General features: G+C 40.3%; 1 protein-coding gene across 10 annotated transcripts in view, besides 1 other annotated feature; it reads right to left on the bottom strand.

Moving 5' to 3' along the window:
• The window catches only part of DDHD1 (DDHD domain containing 1), a 116,569-nt gene that overhangs the window by 67,908 nt on the left and 28,876 nt on the right, over positions 1 to 19,785 (bottom strand). The gene's annotated exons all lie outside the window — the stretch shown is intronic.
• Positions 4,354 to 4,653: an enhancer, noted in NCBI's record as "active region_8399". NCBI's record gives its function as "activates an Ori minimal core promoter by ATAC-STARR-seq in GM12878 lymphoblastoid cells {active_cell/tissue: GM12878}" and the evidence as "EXISTENCE:reporter gene assay evidence [ECO:0000049][PMID:35858748]".

Below are 19,785 nucleotides of genomic sequence, written 5' to 3' on the forward strand. Positions count from 1 at the left end.
GAAACACTATTCCTAGAAACCCAAGACTTTTAGTTGTTATTTAAAATAAACTACAACTGTCAGCTAAACTATCTTGAATTCTTTAAAACAATTTTTTAATAAAGCAAAAATAAAATAAAAATAACAAAACCCTAAAAGTAAAAAGCAAAATGAAACAAATGGATCTAATTATGTAGAATGCTGGTGGTTTAATCATATAAAGAGAAATTATTTCAAGTGAATTTAAAACTCCGTCATTTGTACATACATATTTGGAAATAAAATATGGAGAAAAAGAACTGCAAACATCTTAAACCTTTTGCAATAACCATATTGTTAGTAATACTATTTGTATTACTAATTTGAAACTGTAGGTTAAGATGAATGTATTAATTTTATTAATATCATTAGGAACCTAGATTTTAAGCATAAGACAAAAGAGATACAAATATAAAAATCAAATAAATAAAAAAGCTTGTAATCATAAATTTTAATTAAAAACTTCAGTATGGACTAGTGATGTATTTTCTCTTTGTAAAAATGTCCTAGTAAAGGCCTAGAACTGAAGACAAACCCAGTATAAGTGAACACTCCTAATATAAAGATTGTGAACTATAAATATCATTTCCCATTAAAAGAAACCAAGAGTCCTTGAAAAAAATGGCTAACTTCAGGTTTGAGACAAGAAATATACTAGATGATCTTGAGACATCTTGTCATACCAGATTTGTACTGTGATGTATTTAAAATTTTCTATTATGTGTTTCTATTGCTACTTGCATTCTCCTATATTCTGCTATAGTGATTCTGGTATATTTAGGTGTTTGCTGTGTCATTTGGTACCTAGATACTAAAAAATATTATAACTTCATTGTGAATTATGGCTTTAACCATTATAAATATACTCTGTCATACTGAATAGTTTTTGCCTGGATTCTACTTTGTTCAGCAAAATGGAAACTCCTGATTTCTTATTTTTTCCATTTGCCTGTAATATCATATACATTCCTTTATTTTTGATGGTTGGAATCACTGTTTTATATGTCTCTTGTGTAAGGCATAGAATTGGGTTTTGCTTTATAAAGCCATTTGAACACCTTTTTATTTTAATAGATGAGTTAAGCCCATTTATGTTTACTAATATGATTGACATATTTGAACTCAACTCTATCTTTATAGTTACCATGTTTGTTATTCATACGTATTCTTTTTTTTCCTTTATGTGGTATTTCTGCTATTTTTTTATTTTTTGTACTTTCTTTTGGTAGTTAGGAAAATTTTAATTTTTTGTTCCAGTGGTTCTCTCTCTCTCTCTCCTGTGGTGGTGGTGGTGGTGGTGTGTGTGTATGTGTGTGTGTTTTAGAGTAACCCAAATCGACTTTTTGCCTACTTTACCTTTTATTATCTGGTCAATCCATTTAAAAGGTATTGTATGACTCTCACTTATTACCTATATTGTGGAGAATAATCTTAATTCTTTGTTCACCCACTTATTTTTAGTTTTATTCTTTTTACTTTGTCAGAACATATAAAAATTACATCTATGTCCCCAACACTGTTTTAAGTCTTGGATCTACATTTAAATATAGTAAATTATCACCACATATTTCCTAAATTCTTGTGTGTTCAAACTGTTTATCTGATACTCTAAAGACAGGTTGGCTAGCTTGTGCTTTATTTCTTTGAGTTTTTAAAAATGGTGCTCTACTGTAGCCTTCCTTTGAATATTGTTCTAGGCCAGGTGCAGTGACTCATGCCTGTAATCCCAGCATTCTGAGAGGCCGAGCCAGGTGGATCACTTGAGGCCAGGAGTTCAAGACCAGCCTAGCCAACACAGCAAAACCCCAGCTCTACTAAAAATATAAAAATTAGCTGGGCATGGTGGTGCATGCCTATAATCCCAGCTACAGGAGGCTGAGGCATGAGAATTACTTGAACCTGGGAGGCGGAGGTTGCAGTGAGCCAAGATCATGCCCCTGCACTCCAGCCTGGGTGACAGAGTGAGACCAAAAAAAAATATATTGTTCTTAAGGAATCTGATGTCAGCCTGATTTTATTAATAATATAATCTTTTTTCCCCTCTCAAGAGGCCCAGGAAAAAAGTCTTTAAAATCTAATAGTTTTACTAGGCTATGACTCAGAGCTGTTCTGTATTAATCTGTCCATGATGGGGCCTTTTAATATGTAAAATTTGAAATTTCCTATTATTTCTGAAAAGTGTTGAGTTATGGTTTAATTAGTTCTGTTCTAGTGATTTGCTTTTCTTCTTTAGGGACTCCAATTTTAAGTATGTTAGGTCTTCTTTTGCCTGTATTGAATTTAAACTACTTTTTACATTCTCTTGGTTGTTTTCCTTCCTTTTATCAATGGCTCTTATTAGATTTTTATTTGAATCTATTCTCCACGGGCACCTTGTAATTAATATACAGTAGTCCCCCCTTATCTGTGGGGGATACATTCCAAGACCCCCACTGGATGCCTGAAGCCTTAAATAGTATTGAACCTTATAATGTTTTTGCAATATATACATATTTATGATAAAGCTTACTTTATAAATTAGGCACAATAAGAGATTAACAACAACTAATAATAAAATCCAACAATTATAACAATGTGCTAGCATCACCACTCTTGCGCTTTGGAGCCATTATTAAATAAAATAAAGGTAACTTGAACACAAGCACTTCAAAACCACCACAGTTGATCTGATAACCAAGACAGCTACTAAATGACTAATGGACCAGTGGCATAAACAGCTGCATATCCTAGACAAAGGAATAACTCCCATCCTGGGCAGGATGGAGCAGGATGGCTGGAGACTTCATCACACCAATCAGAAAAGCATCCAATTTAAAACTTGTAATTGTGGCTGGATACAGTGGCTAATGCCTGTAATCCCAGTACTTTGGGAGGCCGAGGCAGGAGGATCACCTGAGGTCAGGAGATTGAGACCAGACTGGCCAACATGGTGAAACCTCATCTTTACTAAAAATACAAAAATTAGCCAGGCATGGTGGTACACACCTATAGTCCCAGCTACTTGGGAGGCTGAGGCAGGAGAATCACTTGAACCCGGGAGGCGGAGGTTGCAGTGAGCTGAGATCGTGCTGAGAGACAGGACTAGCTGGATTTTCTAGGCTGACTAAGAATCCCTGAGCCTAGCTGGGAAGGTGACTGCATCCACCTTTAAACACGGGGCTTGCAACTTAGCTCACACCCGACCAATCAGGTAGTAAAGAGAGCTCACTAAAAAGCTAATTAGGCAAAAACAGGAGGTAAAGAAATAGCCAATCATCTATTGCCTGAGAGCACAGCGGGAGGGACAATGATCAGGATATAAACTCAGGCATTCAAGCCAGCAACAGCTACCCTCTTTGGGTCCCCTCCCTTTGTATGGGAGCTCTGTTTTCACTCTATTAAATCTTGCAACTGCACTCTTTTCTGGTCCGTGTTTGTTACGGCTCGAGCTGAGCTTTCATTCCCCATCCACCACTGCTGTTTGCCACCATCGCAGACCTGCCGCTGACTTCCATCCCTCCGGATCCGGCAGGGTGTCTGCTGTGCTCCTGATCCAGCGAGGCGCCCACTGCTCTTCCCGACTGGGCTAAAGGCTTGCCATTGTTCCTGCACAGCTAAGTGCCCGGGTTCATCCTAATTGAGCTGAACACTAGTCACTGGGTTCCAAGGTTCTCTTCCGTGACCCACGGCTTCTAATACAGCTATAACACTCACTGCATGGCCCAAGATTCCACTCCTTGGAATCCGTGAGGCCAAGAACCCCAGGTCAGAGAACGTGAGACTTGCCACAAGCTTGGAAGCAGCCCGCTGCCATCTTGGGAGCTCTGGGAGCAAGGACCCCTGGTAACAGTGCCATTGCACTCCAGCCTGGGTGACAGAGCAAGACTCTGTCTCAAAAAAACCAAAACCAAAAAACAAAAACAATTTAAAATTGCTTATTTCTGGAATTTTCCATTTAATATTTTTGGACTCTAGTTGACTGTGGCTAACTGAAACTGCAGAAAGCGAAACCACAGCTATAAAGCTGGATTACTGTAGTCTCCCGAGATGGCTTTGCCTTTCTCTTCAATTTCTTTCCTGTGTTCAATCAAATTTTGTTGCACTTCTTCCTTTTTCACTTCTTTTCATGTCAGAGTTTAGATTTCTGCTTCTAAGTTTGTGGTTTTTGTAGTATGTTCACAGATTTGTTTGAGAATATTTTATTTGGTTGGAGCACTGAGATGCCCTTTCCCTTTGCATTTGCTTTTTTGGGGAGAAGTTTTATCAACTGAAACACTTTCTTTCAAATTTTTATATTCCTCTTAAAGTAGCTTTGTGTAGCATTTGATTCATTTCTATTCTTGAGCATAGGGTTCTTGGGTTCTTAGTTTAAGAGCATTCACTTCTGCAGATTAGTAAAGAGGAGCGCCTATAATGGACGGTGTTACGGTGGAGTTGTTGGGTGGGGGTTGGGTTGCCGTGCCTTGTTTCTCTTTCATTTCTCTAGAAGCCTCAATTTTATCCCCACTTCCTTCCTTTCCTCTTGCTGCCATGCCTCCAAGAGGTGTCGTTCTTTTCTCTGTCTCTTCTAGGAGCAATGCTACTCTGAAGCTGCTGCTTGTGGCCCCTCTCACTTTCATACAGCTTCCTGTAGCTAGTTCTATAAATTACCAAGTCCTAGGCCTGTCTTTGTACCTGGCAACGCTGAGGACTTTTTCTGAGGGTGATGTTGCCTGTGGTTTATTTTAACCTCTGTTCCCTTCTCCTATTTTCTCAGTCTCTTAAGCCTTTCCTTACCCAGCTCTTCCCACTCACAGGTTTGTAGCAGCAACAGGAACCATTGTAATGTGCTATTTCCTTGTATAAAGGTAATTAAAAATTCATGGTATCATCTGTCTTGCGGTAGTGCTGAAAGTGTCAGTTATGTATGGTTTCTGTGTATATATATGTGTGTGTGCATGTGTGTGTGGAGTCCTTTTGTTCTTACAGCTTTTGGGGAGGACATGCGGAGAGATTTAGATTTGGACAGTTGCCATTATCTTCCAGACCCAGAAGCTCATCTCATTTAACAATAATCTTAAAAGGCTATCATTCTCCCAACTTTACAAATGAATAAGCTAAGTCTTAGTGAAACTAAATAATTTGCTTAAAGGCACATAGCTACTAGTAATGTGAGAACCAAGATTCCAACCAAAGTTTGAGTTCAAAGTTCATTCAAGCTCTTTCTACTACATAATACAACCTATACTCTCAAATACAAAATGCATTTTCAGCTCTCATTTAGTTCTCACCTCCCAAGCAGTAGAGGTTCTTTACTGGTGTTCAACCACAAATAGTCATGAAACCCTTAGCTTCCTGGAAAAAAATTGAACAAAACAAAACACACACCCATTTTTCCACCTGCATTCCCTATCACAGTGAATGGAAAGCTGACAGTATTTAGGTGGCTACCCAAGGCAGAAACCTGGGAGTCATCCAAGATGCTGCCTCCTCAAGTACTTCTTACAACTGGACACTAAATGCTGTTTATTCCATCTCCTAAATCACTCTCAAATTCATCCCTTGTTTATCAGGCCTACAGTCATTATTTGAGTTCACACTAATCATTTCTTGTTTTATTTCAGAAGCCTCCTACGTAAACTCAGTATCCCTAGTTTCAACTCTACAACACTCTCACCACCATTACCCAATGCCTACTCACAAGCAAGTGTATATGTAAGTACATGCACATACATTCAGATTCCCTTCATTTACTCTCTCCTCCTTAAAACCCAGAATGTGTTGTGCTGGTTCTTACTTCTGTATCTTGCATATGCTGTTCCTTCTGTCTGGGATGCTTGTGCCTATTTTCTACATTTAGCTAGCTTTTACATTTACTTCTTCAGGAAAGCCTTTCTTCACCTTCTATGATTTCACTGAAATAATTCTGTACATGTCTGTCAGTATTTTTCTTAACTGTATTCTATTTAGTCTTCCTCCTTTCTCTGGAATTCTTAGATACAGGTGTTATGTCTTCATACATCTTGAGAACTCAAAAGATAAGAGTAACTATCATAGCTAGGCGTGGTGGCTCAAACCTGTAATCCCAGCACTTAAGGACGCTGAGGTGGGCGGATCATCTGAGGTCACGAGTTCGAGACTAGCCTGGCCAACATGGTGAAACCCTGTCTCTACTAAAAATATAAAATTAGCTGGGCTTGGTGGTAACACGCCTGTAATCCCAGCTACTCAGGAGGCTGAGGCAGAAGAATCTCTTGAACCCGGGAGGCGGAGGCTGCAGTGAGCTGAGATCACACCATCGCACCTGCACTCCAGCCTAGGTGACACAGCGAGAGTCCGTCTCAAAAAAAGAGAAAATAACTAAGTCATTATCCTAATTACAATTGCTAGGAAGAACGGTCTTTATTGAAATCAAAAGAAGAACATGGGTTCTTCTTGACTGAAAAATAATTCTAAGGTTCATTTTCTACTATGCAAATGCTTGAGTGGATCTCATGTGTGAGTAGGAATACATTCGCAATAAAGATATTTATGTGGCCGGGCGCGGTGGCTCACGCCTAGAATCCCAGCACTTTGGATTGTCTAATCCAGATCAGCCCCTGAACTATTAAATATCTAATGTATTAATGCACTGTTGCCATCAAACCATCCTTTATGTTTTCTTATAGAAAAACATATTCTAAGTTATAATTTAGACCATCAAGCATTTATTTCTCCATTAGGGTAAAGACTATATCCCATAAATCATTTTTTTTTTTTAACAGTAGCTAGGACTGGGTAGCTATTGGTGATAATGACTCTTCCTTCTTCCCTGTAGTTAACGTGCTTACAGCACAGGCATCAGGCTTTTTCTGAATTAGAAAGACAAAAGGCAGCTTGGTACCTGTGTACTGTAGACTTTGAGTTTTCCTGTACAGGTCATGCAAAAGCTGTTATGCATTACTAAGAGGAGGCTAGGTATCTTGGTGTTTTGGTAATTATCTTTAAAGTTTATTACCCCCCCCCAAAAAAATACATTAGACTCAGCAAATTAAGAATTTTTCACTTTAATGCTTGATATGTAATATACATTGAATTAAAATCCATTTTACAGAACTAGAGTTGAACAGAAATACAAGGTTTCAGCTATTCAGGTACAATTTCTTTGCAACCTCATTTCTTTACAACCTCATTAAAATTAGTCTGGTTATTGAAATGTAATATTGTGGATAATTAAGATATTCCAAAGCTAACTGTCCAATTGAAAGCACAGAACACTTCCTAAAGTATTTAACACTTCCCTTAGTAAACAGAATAGGGTAAATATAAATTTACATTTTCAAGGCATTACCTTAATTTATTATGAAAGGGAGCTTTGTCGTGGAAGCTATATATACTGCTTATATTGAAAGGATTTTGACCACAGAGTAGACGTTAAACATTGTCTGTGTCTCTACTGTCAACTTTGTCTACTGCTAATCTGTATCAGTCTTAGATGAATATAACAAGTTACACAGGGCCTGGCGTGGTGGCTCACACCTGTAATCCCAGCACTCTGAGAGGCCGAAGTGGGCGGATCATGAGGTCAAGAGATCGAGAACATCCTGGCCAACATGGTGAAACCCCGTGTCTCTACTAAAAATACAAAAATTAGCTGGGCATGGTGGCACACTCCTGTAGTCCCAACTACTTGGGAGGCTGAGGCAGAAGAATCGCTTGAACCCAGAAGGCAGAGGTTGCAGTGAGCTGAGATCGTGCCACTGCACTCTAGCCTGGCAACAGAGCGAGACTCCATCTCAAAAAAAAAAAAAAAGTTACACAGTTTAATGTGACATGAATTGAGCTAGGTAAAATTAATTGCTATATCAAAGCCTTTTCAAACAGGTCTTTTCTCAAATTACCATAAATAAAACCATTTTCTATGGTGACTAAGTTTTTTGCATGCTCTCCATGCCTATGATATTCAACACCTATATCTCTTATTCTACATTACTAATATAACTTACTTATCAATCTGCTTAAAAATATACTTATAATCTGCTTAAAAACATCTATGTCCTTATTGACTATTTTCTACTCCTATTTGTGTAAGTAACATGTGGAATAGTCTTTACAGCATCTATCATCTATACCAGTATAATTTGTGGAGCCTACACATTCTTTATTATTGCAAGACAATGGTAGACGTTCTTCACACCTATCACTAAGCCCTGCTTGACTTTAACAAAACTGGCTGCATGCTATTCATGATACTGAAAATCATGAAGAGTGCCTGAATATAAAAAAAAGATATGTTACAGTCACTTGGTAAAGAAATATGTAATAATTTAAACGTGACTTTCACTTTTTTTTTGTTTTTTGAGACACAGTCTCACTCTGTCATCCAGGCTGGAGTGCAGTGGCGTGATCTCAGCTTACTGCAACCTCCACCTCCCAGGTTCAAGCAATTCTCCTGCCTCAGCCTCCAGAGTAGCCAGGAATATAGGGGTGCACCACCACACCTGGCTAACTTTTCTATTTTTTTTTTTTAGTAGTTTCAGGGTTTCGCTATGATAGCCAGGCTGGTCTCAAAACTCCTGACCTCAAGTGATCTGCCTGCTTCGGCCTCCCAAAGTGCTGGGATTACAGGCATATGCCACGACGCCTGGCCATCTTTCACTATTTTTTAAAAAAGGGTTAGAACTAGAAGAAATTATTTATAATGCATATAGCCATTCTATATTTTCTTTTTCTTTTTTTTTTCTTTTTAAAAAAAAAAACCCCTGTACAAGCCAAAAAAAAAAAAAAAAAAAAAAAGTATGAGAAACTCTATTTTAAAATATGGGCAAAGGAGGAGAGGCCAAGATGGCCGAATAGGAACAGCTCTGGTCTGCAGGTCCCAGTGAGACCAATGCAGAAGGAGGGTGATTTCTGCATTTCCAACTGAGGTGCCCCGTTCATTTCATTGGAAAAATGAACCCACGGAGAGTGAGCAGAAGCATGGTGGTGCGTCACTTCCACTTCACCTGGGAAGCGCAAGGAGCCAGGGGACCTCCCTCCGCCAGCCAAGGGAAGCCATGAGGGACTGTGCTACCCAGCTGGGTTACTATGCTTTTCCCATGGTTTTTGCAATCTGCAGATCAGAAGATTATCTTGTGTGCCTACACCACCAGGACCCTGGGCTTCAAGCACATAACTGGGCAGCTGTTTGGGCAGACACTGAGCTAGCTGCAGGAGTTTTTTTCAAAACCCAGTGGTTCCAGGAACCCCAGTGAGACTTCACTTCCCTAGAAAGGGGGCTGAAGCCAGGGAGCCAAGTGGTCTCGCTCAGTGGGTCCCACTCCCATGGAGCCCAGCAAGCTAAGAACCACTGGCTTGAAATTCTCACTGTCAGCACAGCAGTCTGAAGTCGACCAGGGACACTGGAGCTTGGTGAGGGGAGGGGCGTCCACCATTACCAAGGCTTTAGTAGGTGGTTTTCCCCTGACAGTGCTAAGGTGCCTGGCAGGTCTGGACTGGGCGGAATTCACCACAGCGGGGCAAAGCGGCTGTCACCAGACTGCCTCTCTAGATTCCTCCTCACTGGGCGGAGCACCTCTGAAGGAAAGACAGCAGCGCCAGTCAGGGGCTTACAGATAAAACTCTCATCTCCCTCGGACACAGCACCTGGGGGAAGGGGTGGCTGTGGGCACGAGGCTTCAGCAGATTTAATCTTTCCTGCCTGCCGACTCTGAAGACAGCAGTTGATACTGACAAGGGTGATTCTCCCAGTACAGTGCACCAGCTCTGCTAAGGGACAGGCTGCCTCCTCAAGTGGGTCCCTAACCCCCATACCTCCTGACTGGGAGAGATCTCCCAACAGGGTCTGACAGACACCTCATACAGGGGAGCTCTGGCTGGCATCAGGCCAGTGCCCCTCTGGGACAAAGCTTCCAGAGGAAGGAGCAGGCAGCAATCTTTGCTGTTCTGCAGCTTCCACTGCAGGTCAACAGGGTCTGGAGTGGACCTCCAGCAAACTGCAGCAGACCTGCAGGAGAGGGGCCAGACTAATAGAAGAAAAACTAACAAACAGAAAGCAACAACATCAACAAAAAAGACCACCACACAAAAACCCCATCCAAAGGTCATCAGCCTCAAAGATCAAAGGTAGATAAATCCACAAAGATGAGGAAAAATCAGTGCAAAAACACTGAAAATTCCAAAAACCAGAAAGCCTCTTCTCCTCCAAATTATCGCAACTCCTCTCCAGCAAGGTCACAAAACTGGATGGAGAATGAGATTGCCGAATTGACAGAAGTAGGCTTCAGAAGGTGGGTAATAACAAACTCCTCTGAGCTAAAGGAGCATGTCCTAACCCAATGCATGGAGGCTAAGAACCTTGATAAAGGTTACAGGAACTGCTAACTAGAATAACCAGTTTAAAGAGGAACATAAATGACCTGATGGAGTTGAAAAACACAGTCCGAGAACTTCATGAAGCATACACAAGAATCAATAGCCAAATCGATCAAGTGGAAGAAAGGATATCAGGGACTGAAGATCACCTGACTGAAACAAGGCATGAAGAAAAGATTAGAGAAAAAAAGAATGAAAAGGAATGAACAAAGCCTCCAAGAAATATGGCACTATGTGAGAAGACGAAACCTAAGTTTAACTGGTATACCTGAAAGTGGTGGAGAGAATGAAGTCAAGTTGGAAAACACACTTCAGGACATTATCCAGGAGAACTTCCCCAGCCTAGCAAGGCAGGCCAACATTCAAATTCAGGAAACACAGAGACCACCACTAAGATACTGCTCAAGAAGAGCAACCCCAAGACACATAATGATCAGATTCTCCAAGGCTGAAACAAAGGAAAAAAGGTTAAGGGCATCCAGAGAGAAAGGTCAGGTTATCTACAAAGGGAAGCCTATCAGATTAACATCAGATTTCTCTGCAGAAACTTTACAAGCCAGAAGACAGTGGGGGCCAATATTCAACATTCTTAAGGAAAAGAATTTGCAACCCGGAATTTCATATCCAGCCAAACTAAGCTTCATAACCAAAGGAGAAATAAAATCCTTTACAGACAAGCAGATGCCTAGGGATTTTGTCATCACCAAGCCTGCCTTACAAGAACTCCTGAAGGAAGCACTAAATATGGAAAGGAAAAACCGATACCAGCCACTGCAAAAACAAAACAAAATATAAAGACCAATGACATTATGAAGAAACCACATCAAATGATGTGCAAAATAACCAGCTAGCATCACAATAACAGGATCAAATTCACACATAACAATATTAACCTTAAATGTACATGGGCTAACTGCCCCAATTAAAAGATACAGACTGGAAAACTGGATAGAGTCAAGACCCATTGGTGTGCTGTATTCAAGAGACCCATCTCATGTGCAAAGACACACAAAGGCTCAAAATAAAGGGATGGAGGAACATTTACCAAGCAAATGCAATGGGAAAAAAAAGCAGGGGTTGCAATCCTAATCTCTAATAAAACAGACTTTACCAACAAGGATCAAAAAAGACAAAGAAGGACATTACATAATGGTAAAGGGATCAATGCAACAAGGAGAGCTAACTATCCTAAATATATACACACCCAATACGGGAGCACCCAGATTCATAAAACAAATTCTTAGAGACCTAGAAAGAGACTTAAGACTCCCACACAATAATAATAGGAGACTTTAACTACCACTGTCAATATTAGACGGATCAATGAGACAGAAAATTAACAAGGATATTCAGGACTTGAACTCAACTCTGGACCAAGATGACCTAATAGACATCTACGGAACTCTCCACCCCAATCAACAGAATATATATTCTTCTCAGTGCCACATAGCACTTATTCTAAAATGACCACATAATTGGAAGTAAAACAATCCTCAACAAATGCAAAAGAATGGAAATCATAACAAACAGTCTCTCAGACCACAGTGCAATCAAATTAGAACTCAGGATTAAGAATCTCACTCAAAACCACACAACTACATGGAAATCAAACAACCTGCTCCTGAATGACTACTGGGTAAATCATGAAATTAAGGCAGAAATAAAGAAGTTCTTTGAAACCAATGAGAACAAAGAGACAACGAGTGAGGATTTCTGGGACACAGCTAAAGCGGTGTTAAGATGGAAATTTATAGCACTAAATACCCACATCAGAAAGCAAGAAAGACAGAAAACCAACATCCTAACATCGCAATGAAAAGAACTAGAGAAGCAAGAGCAAACAAATTCAAAAGCTGGCAGAAGCAAGAAATAGAGCAGAACTAAAGGAGATAGAGGACACAAAAAACCTTTCAAAAAATCAATGAATCCAGGAGCTTGGTTTTTGAAAAGATTAACAAAATTGATAGACTGCTAGCTAGACTAATAAAGAAAAGAGAGAAGAATTAACAAAATAGACTGCTAGCTAGACTAATAAAGAAGAAAAGAGAGAAGAATCAAATAGGCACATGAAAATGATAAAAGGGATATCACCACTAATCCCACAGAAATACAAACTACCATCAGATAATACCATAAACACCTCTATGCAAATAAAGCAGAAAATCTAGAAGAAATAGGGGTCCCTTCCAAGATGGCCAAATAGGAACAGCTCTGGTCTGCAGCTCCCAGTGAGATCGACACAGAAGTGAATGATTTCTGCATTTCCAACTGAGGTACCTGGTTCATCTCATTGGGACTGGTTGGACAGTGGGTGCAGCTCACGGAGGGCAAGCTGAAGTATGGTGGGGCGTCGCCTCACCCAGGAAGCAGAAAGGGTCAGGGGATTTCCCTTTCCTAGCCAAGGGAAGCTGTGACAGACTGTACCTGGAGAAATGGTACACTCCTCACCAAATACTGCACTATTCCCACAGTCTTAGCAACCGGCAGACCAGGAGATACCCTCCTGTCACTGGTTTGGCAGGTCCCACACCCACGGAGCCTTGCTCACTGCTAGCGCAACAGTCTGAGATCAACCTTTGAGGCTGTAGCCTGGTGGGGGAAAGGGGCATCTGCCATTGCTGGGGCTTAAGTAGCTCACAGTGTAAACAAAGAGGCCAGGAAGCACAAACTGGGCAGAACCCACTGCAGCTCAGCAAGGCCTACTGCCTCTATAGATTCCACCTCTGGGGGCAGGGCACAGCTGAACAAAAGGCAGCAGACAGCTTCTGCAGACTTAAACATCCCTGGCTGACAGCTCTGAAGGGAGTAGTGATTCTCTCAGCAGGGCATTCGAACTCTGAGAATGGACAGATTGCCTCCTCAAGCGGGTCCCTGACCCCTGTGTTGCCTGACTGGGAAACACCTCCCAGTATTGGCCGACAGACACCTCAAACAGGCGGGTGCCCCTCTGGGACGAAGCTTCCAGAGGAAGGATCAAGCAGCAATATTTGTTGTTCTGCAGCCTCCGCTGGTGATACCCAGGCAAACAGGGTCTGGAGTGGACCTCCAGCAAACTCCAACAGACCTGCAGCTGAGGGACCTGACTGTCAGAAGGAAAATTAACAAACAGAAAGGAACAGCATCAACATCAACAAAAAGGACATCCACACCAAAACTCCACCTGTAGGTCACCATCATCAAAGACCAAAGGTAGATAAAACCACAAAGATGGGGAGAAACCACAGCAGAAAAGCTGAAAAATCCAAAAAACAGAGCGCCTCTTCTCCTCCAAAGGATTGCAGCTCCTCACCAGCAAGGGAACAAAACTGGATGGAGAACGAGTTTGATGAGTTGACAGAAGTAGGCTTCAGGTCGGTAATAACAAACTTCTCTGAGCTAAAGGAGCATGTTCTAACCCATCACAAGAAAGCTAAAAACCTTGAAAAAAGATTAGATGAATGGCTAACAAGAATAAACAGTGTAAAGAAGACCTTAAGTGACCTGATGGCACTGAAAACCATGGCACAAGAACTTCGGGACCCATGCATAAGCTTCAATAGCCGATTCAAACAAGTGGAAGAAAAAATATCAGTGACTGAAGATCAAATTAATGAAATAAAACAAGAAGAGAAGTTTAGAGAAAAAAGAGTAAAAAGAAACAAACAAAGCCTCCAAGAAATATGGGACTATGTGAAAAGACCAAATCTATGTTTGATTGGTGTACCAGAAAGTGACCGGGAGAATGGAACCAAGTTAGAAAACACTCTTCAGGATATTATCCAGGAGAACTTCCCCATCCTAGCAAGGCAGGCCAACATTCAAATTCAGGAAATACAGAGAACACCATAAAGATCCTCTTCGAGAAGAGCAACCCCAAGACACATTAATTGTCAGATTCACCAAGGTTGAAATGAAGGAAAAAATGTTAAGGGCAGCCAGGGAGAAAGGTCAGGTTACCCACAAAGGAAAGCCCATCAGACTAACGGCGGATCTCTTGGCAGAAACTCTACAAGCCAGAAGAGAGTGGGGGCCAATATTCAACATTCTTAAAGAAAAGGATTTTCAACCCAGAATCTCATATTCAGCCAAACTAAGCTTCGAAAGTGAAGGAGAAATAAAATCCTTTACAGACAAGCAAATGCTGAGAGATTTTGTTATCCCTAGGCCTGCCTTACAAGAGCTCCTGAAGGAAGCACTAAACATGGAAAGAAATAACCAGTACCAGCCACTGCAAAAACATGACAAATGGTAAAGACCATTGATGCTATGAAGAAACTGCAGCAATTAATGGGCAAAATAACTAGCTAGCATCATAATGACAGGATCAAATTCAAATGTAACAATATTAACCTTAAATGTAAATGGGCTAACTGCCCCAATCAAAAGACACAGACTGGCAAATTGGATAAAGAGTCAAGGTACCATTCCTTCTGAAACTATTTCAATCAATAGAGAAAGAAAGAATCCTCCCTAACTCATTTTATGAGGCCAGCCTCATCCTGAAACCAAAACCTGGCAGAGAGACAACAAAGAAGAAAATTTTAGGCTAATATACCTGATGAACATCGATGTGAAAATCCTCAATAGAATACTGGCAAACCGAATCCAGCAGCACATCAAAAAGCTTATCCACCACATACAAGTCAGCTTCATCCCTGGGATGCAAGTCTGGTTCAACACATGCAAATCAATAAACGTAATCCATCATATAAAGAGAATCAATGACAAAAACCATATAATTATCTCAATCGATGCAGAAACGGTCTTTGATAAAATTCAACATAACTTCATGCTAAAAACTCTCAATAAACTAGGTATCAATAGAATATAACTCAAAATAATAAGAGCTATTTATGACAAACCCATAGCCAATATCACACTGAATGGGCAAAAGCTGGAAGCATTCCCTTTGAAAACCAGCACAAGACAAGGATGTCCTCTCTCACTACTCCTATTCAACAGAGTACTGGAAGTTCTGCCAGGGCAATCAGACAAGAGAAAGAAATAAAGGGTATTCAAATAGGAAGAGAGGAAATCAAATTGTCTCTGCAAATGACATGATTGTATATTTAGAAAACCCCATGGTCTCAGACTAAAAACTCTTTAAGCTGATAAGCAGCTTCAGCAAAGTCTCAGGACACAAAATCAATGTGCAAAAATCACAAGCATTCTTATACACCAATAATAGACAAGCAGAGAGCCAAATCATGAGTGAACTCCTATTCACAATTGCTAGAAGCAAAATAGAATATCTAGGAATACAACTTACAAGGGACGTGAAGGACGTCTTCAAGACGAACTACAAACCACTGTTCAACAAAATAAAAACGACACAAATAAATGGAAAAAAATTCTATGCTCATGGTTAGGAAGAATCAATATCGTGAAAATAACCATACTGCCTAAAGTAGTTTATAAATTCAATGATATTCCCATCAAGCTACCATTGACTTTCTTTGCAGAATTAGAAAAAAATACTTTAAATTTTATATGGAACCAAAAAAGAGCCTGTATAGCCAAGACAATCCTAAGCAAAAGAACAAATCTGGAGACACCACACTACCTGACTTCAAACTATACTACAAGGCTACAGTAACCAAAACAGCATGGTACTAGTACCAAAACAAATATACAGACTAATAGAACAGAACAGAGACCTCAGAAATAGCAGCACACATCTACAACCATCTGATCTTTGACAAACCTGACTATAATAAACAATGGGGAAAGTATTCCTTATTTAATAAATGGTGCTGGGAAAACTGGCTAGTTATATGCAGAAAACAGAAACTAGACCCTTTCCTTACATCTTATACAAAAATCAACTCAAAAATGGAGTAAAGACTTCAATGTAAAACCCCAAACCATAAAAACCCTAGAAGAAAACCTAGGCAATACCATTCAGGACATAGGCATGGACAAAGACTTCATGAATAAAACACCAAAAGCAACTGCAAAAAGTCAAAATTGACAAGTGGGATCTAATTAAAGAGCTTCTGCACAGCAAAATAAACTATCATCAGAGTGAACAGGCAACCTACAGAATGGGAGAAAATTTTTGAAATCTACCCACCTGACAAAGGTCTAATATCCAGAATCTACAAGGAACTTAAATCTACAAGAAAAAAAAACCCATCAAAAAGTGGGCAAAGGATATTAACAGACACTTCTCAAGAGAAAACATCTATGTGGCCAAAAAACATGAAAAAAAAGTTCATCATCACTAGTCATTAGAGGAATGCAAATCAAAACTACAATGAGATACCTCTCACACCAGTTAGAATAGCAATTATTAAAAAGTCAGGAAACAACAGATGCTGGTGAGGCTGTGGAGAAATAGGAACACTTTTACACTATTGGTGGGAGTGTAAATTAGTTCAACCATTGTGGAAGACGGTGTGGCAATTCCTCAAGAAGCTAGAACCAGAAATACCATTTGATCCAGCAATCCCGTTACTGGGTATATACCCAAAGGATTATAAATCATTCCACTATAAAGACACATGCACACATATGTTCACTGTGGCACTATTTACAATAGCAAAGACTTGGAAGCAACCCAAATGCTCATCAATGATAGACTGGATAAAGAAAATGTGGCACATATACACCATGGAATACTATGCAGCCATAAAAAAGGATGCGTTCATGTCCTTTGCATGGATGAAGCTGGAAGCCATCATTCTCAGCAAACTAACACAGGAACAGAAAACCAAATACCCCATGTTCTCAGTCAAAAGTGGGAGCTGAACAATGAGAACACATGGATACAGGGAGGAGAACATCACACACCAGGGGTCAGGAAGCAAGGGAGGGAGACCATCAGGATAAATACCTAATGCATGCAGGGCTTAAAATCTAGATGATGGGTTGATAGGTGCAACAAACCACCATGGCACATATACACCTATGTAACAAACCTGCACGTTCTGCGCATGTATCCCAGAACGTTAAAAAAAAAAAAAGGGCAAATGATACTGTGTAAATTATCCACTTACTGCCTCTCAGCTCTAAATCTACCCTTCCTTGTGTGCTCTACAATAATGGAGCTGAACTCTGTAAATAGTTCTCTCTTGCCAGCTGGTCCAATTAGGCTTTACCAGTAGATGACACTTGAAGGATGCTGGAAGAAGAAGGTGTTTCTCCTTCTGGTTCCAGTGTGCTTACCTTATTGGGTTCCTGCAGGATGCAGATTTTAATTTTTGGCAGCGTCCAGGTGCTAACAGCCGTGGCACCTTCTCATGAGCTGCTTCCCTGGCACCAACCACCCCAGACCTCCTGGCAGTTTCATAGTGAAATGTCACCTGCTATGTAACTCCCCTTGGACTACTTTTTTAGCACCTACTCAGGCAGCTTACAATGAGTTCCACAGCTAGGCACCTCCCTGGGGAAGACTATCCCGAGGGCAGATTTCTAACAGTCCCCATGGGGCAGCACTTTGTGACCACTGCCACACTCTGCAACTAGGTCTGAATCTCAACCTTGAGAGGGAATGTCTCTTCCTTGGGTGCTCTATCTCAGTTCCACAGATAGTGGCTGCTACCTGTATCTATTATTTCTGTATTCTTTACACACTTCTCTTTGCTCTGTTACTTTGTTCCTCTGCTAATAGTTTTTTTTTTTTTTTGACACAGTCTCACACTATTGCCCAGGCTGGAGTGCAGTGGTGCGATCTTGGCCCAGGTTCAAGCAGTTCTCCTGCCTTAGCCTCCTGAGTAGCTGAGATTACAGGCACCTGCCACCATGCCTGGCTAATTTTTTTTTTAATTTTTATTTTTAGCAGAGATGGAGTTTCACTATGCTTGTCAGGCTGGTCTCGAACTCCTGACCTTGTGATCTGCCCACCTCAGCCTCCCAAAGTACTGGGATTACAGGCGTGAGCCACCGTGCCTGGCCAGTAATTCTTTATGTTATACTCTCTCTGTTGAAATTAAGAGTGGTTTCTGTCTCCTGATTAAAATATAACAACATTTTTACAGAAGGAGAAACCCAAATAGTTAACAAAACTATAATGTAAAATATGCTCAGATTCACCGGTAATGAGAGAGACAGACAGAGAATTTGAAACAGTCTATTCCTAAGTATATAATCTAGAGAAATTCTGGCACATTTGTACAGAGACACAAATGTACCAGATAATTGCTGTTATTATTATTATTATTATTATTATTATTATTATTATTATTATTATTTTGAGATGGAGTATTACTGTGTCACCCAGGCTGGAGTGCAGTGGTGCGATCTCAGCTCATTGCAACCTCCGCCTCCAGAGTTCTAGTGATTCTCCTGCCTCAGCCTCCCAAGTAGCTGGAATTACAGGTGTTGTGCAACAACACCCAGCTAAGTTTTGTATTTTTAGTAGAGACAGGGTTTCACCATGTTGGCCAGGCTGGTCTTAAACTGCTGACCTTAGGTGATCCACCGACCTCGGCCACCCAAAGTGCTGGGATTATAGGCATGAGCCACCGCACCTGGCCAATTGCTGTAATTATTACAGCAATGTTTGTAATAGCAAAACAAACAAACCTGCAAACAACCCAGATGTCCAAAGAGGAAAATAAACTGTGGTATATTCATGGAATGAAATACTACTATGCACAGTAAAAACAAATCACTGGAACTATATGCATCAGTATGGTTAAATCTTGAAAACCTGTATTAAACCAAAATGCAAGTTTTAGGAGGATGCAAACAGAATGAGACTGTTTACATAAAGCTAAAACAAGCAAAAAATGCCAATGGGAATAATAATGCATGGAAATAAACAGAAATTTGGAATGGTGGTTACTTCTGGATTAAAAACCGGAGAATGGAGGAGTCAGGAGATTTTGATTGTATCTGTAAAGTTTAATTTCTTAAGGTAGGTGAAAGAGATGCTGATTATATTTTTTTACATGTTTGAAATATTTCATAATAAAGTCAACAATTAAAAATAATAAGCTGACAATACTCAGATGGGTGATAAAAATATATTAAGTTGGCCGGGCATGGTGGCTCATGCCTGTAATCCCAGCACTTTAGGAGGCCAAGGCGGGCGGATCACCTGAGGTCAGGAGTTCGAGACCAGCCTGGCCAACATGGTGAAACCCTGTCTCTACTAAAAATACAAAAAAAATTAGCCGGGCATGGTGGCAGGCGGCTTTAATTCCAGCTACTCAGGAGGCTGAGGCAGGAGAATCACTTGAACCTGGGAGGCAGAGGTTACAGTGAGCCGAGATCACGCCAGTGCACTCCAGCCTGGGCGACAAGAGTGAAACTCTGTCTCAAAAAAAAAAAAATTATATATATATATATGGTTAAAAATCAAATATTTAATTGGTAAATGGAATGAAAGGTAGTAACTTAGGATCTAGCATCAAAATGCTACCTTGCATTAGAATACCTGAATACTTGTTCATTCACTAGCTAGAAACTGTAATCTAAAAGAATAATGCAGGACAAAAGTAATTAATCATTATCCTAATAATTATTTAGCTT

Source organism: Homo sapiens, chromosome 14 (genome assembly GCF_000001405.40).
Source record: "Homo sapiens chromosome 14, GRCh38.p14 Primary Assembly".
Lineage (NCBI taxonomy): Eukaryota > Metazoa > Chordata > Mammalia > Primates > Hominidae > Homo > Homo sapiens.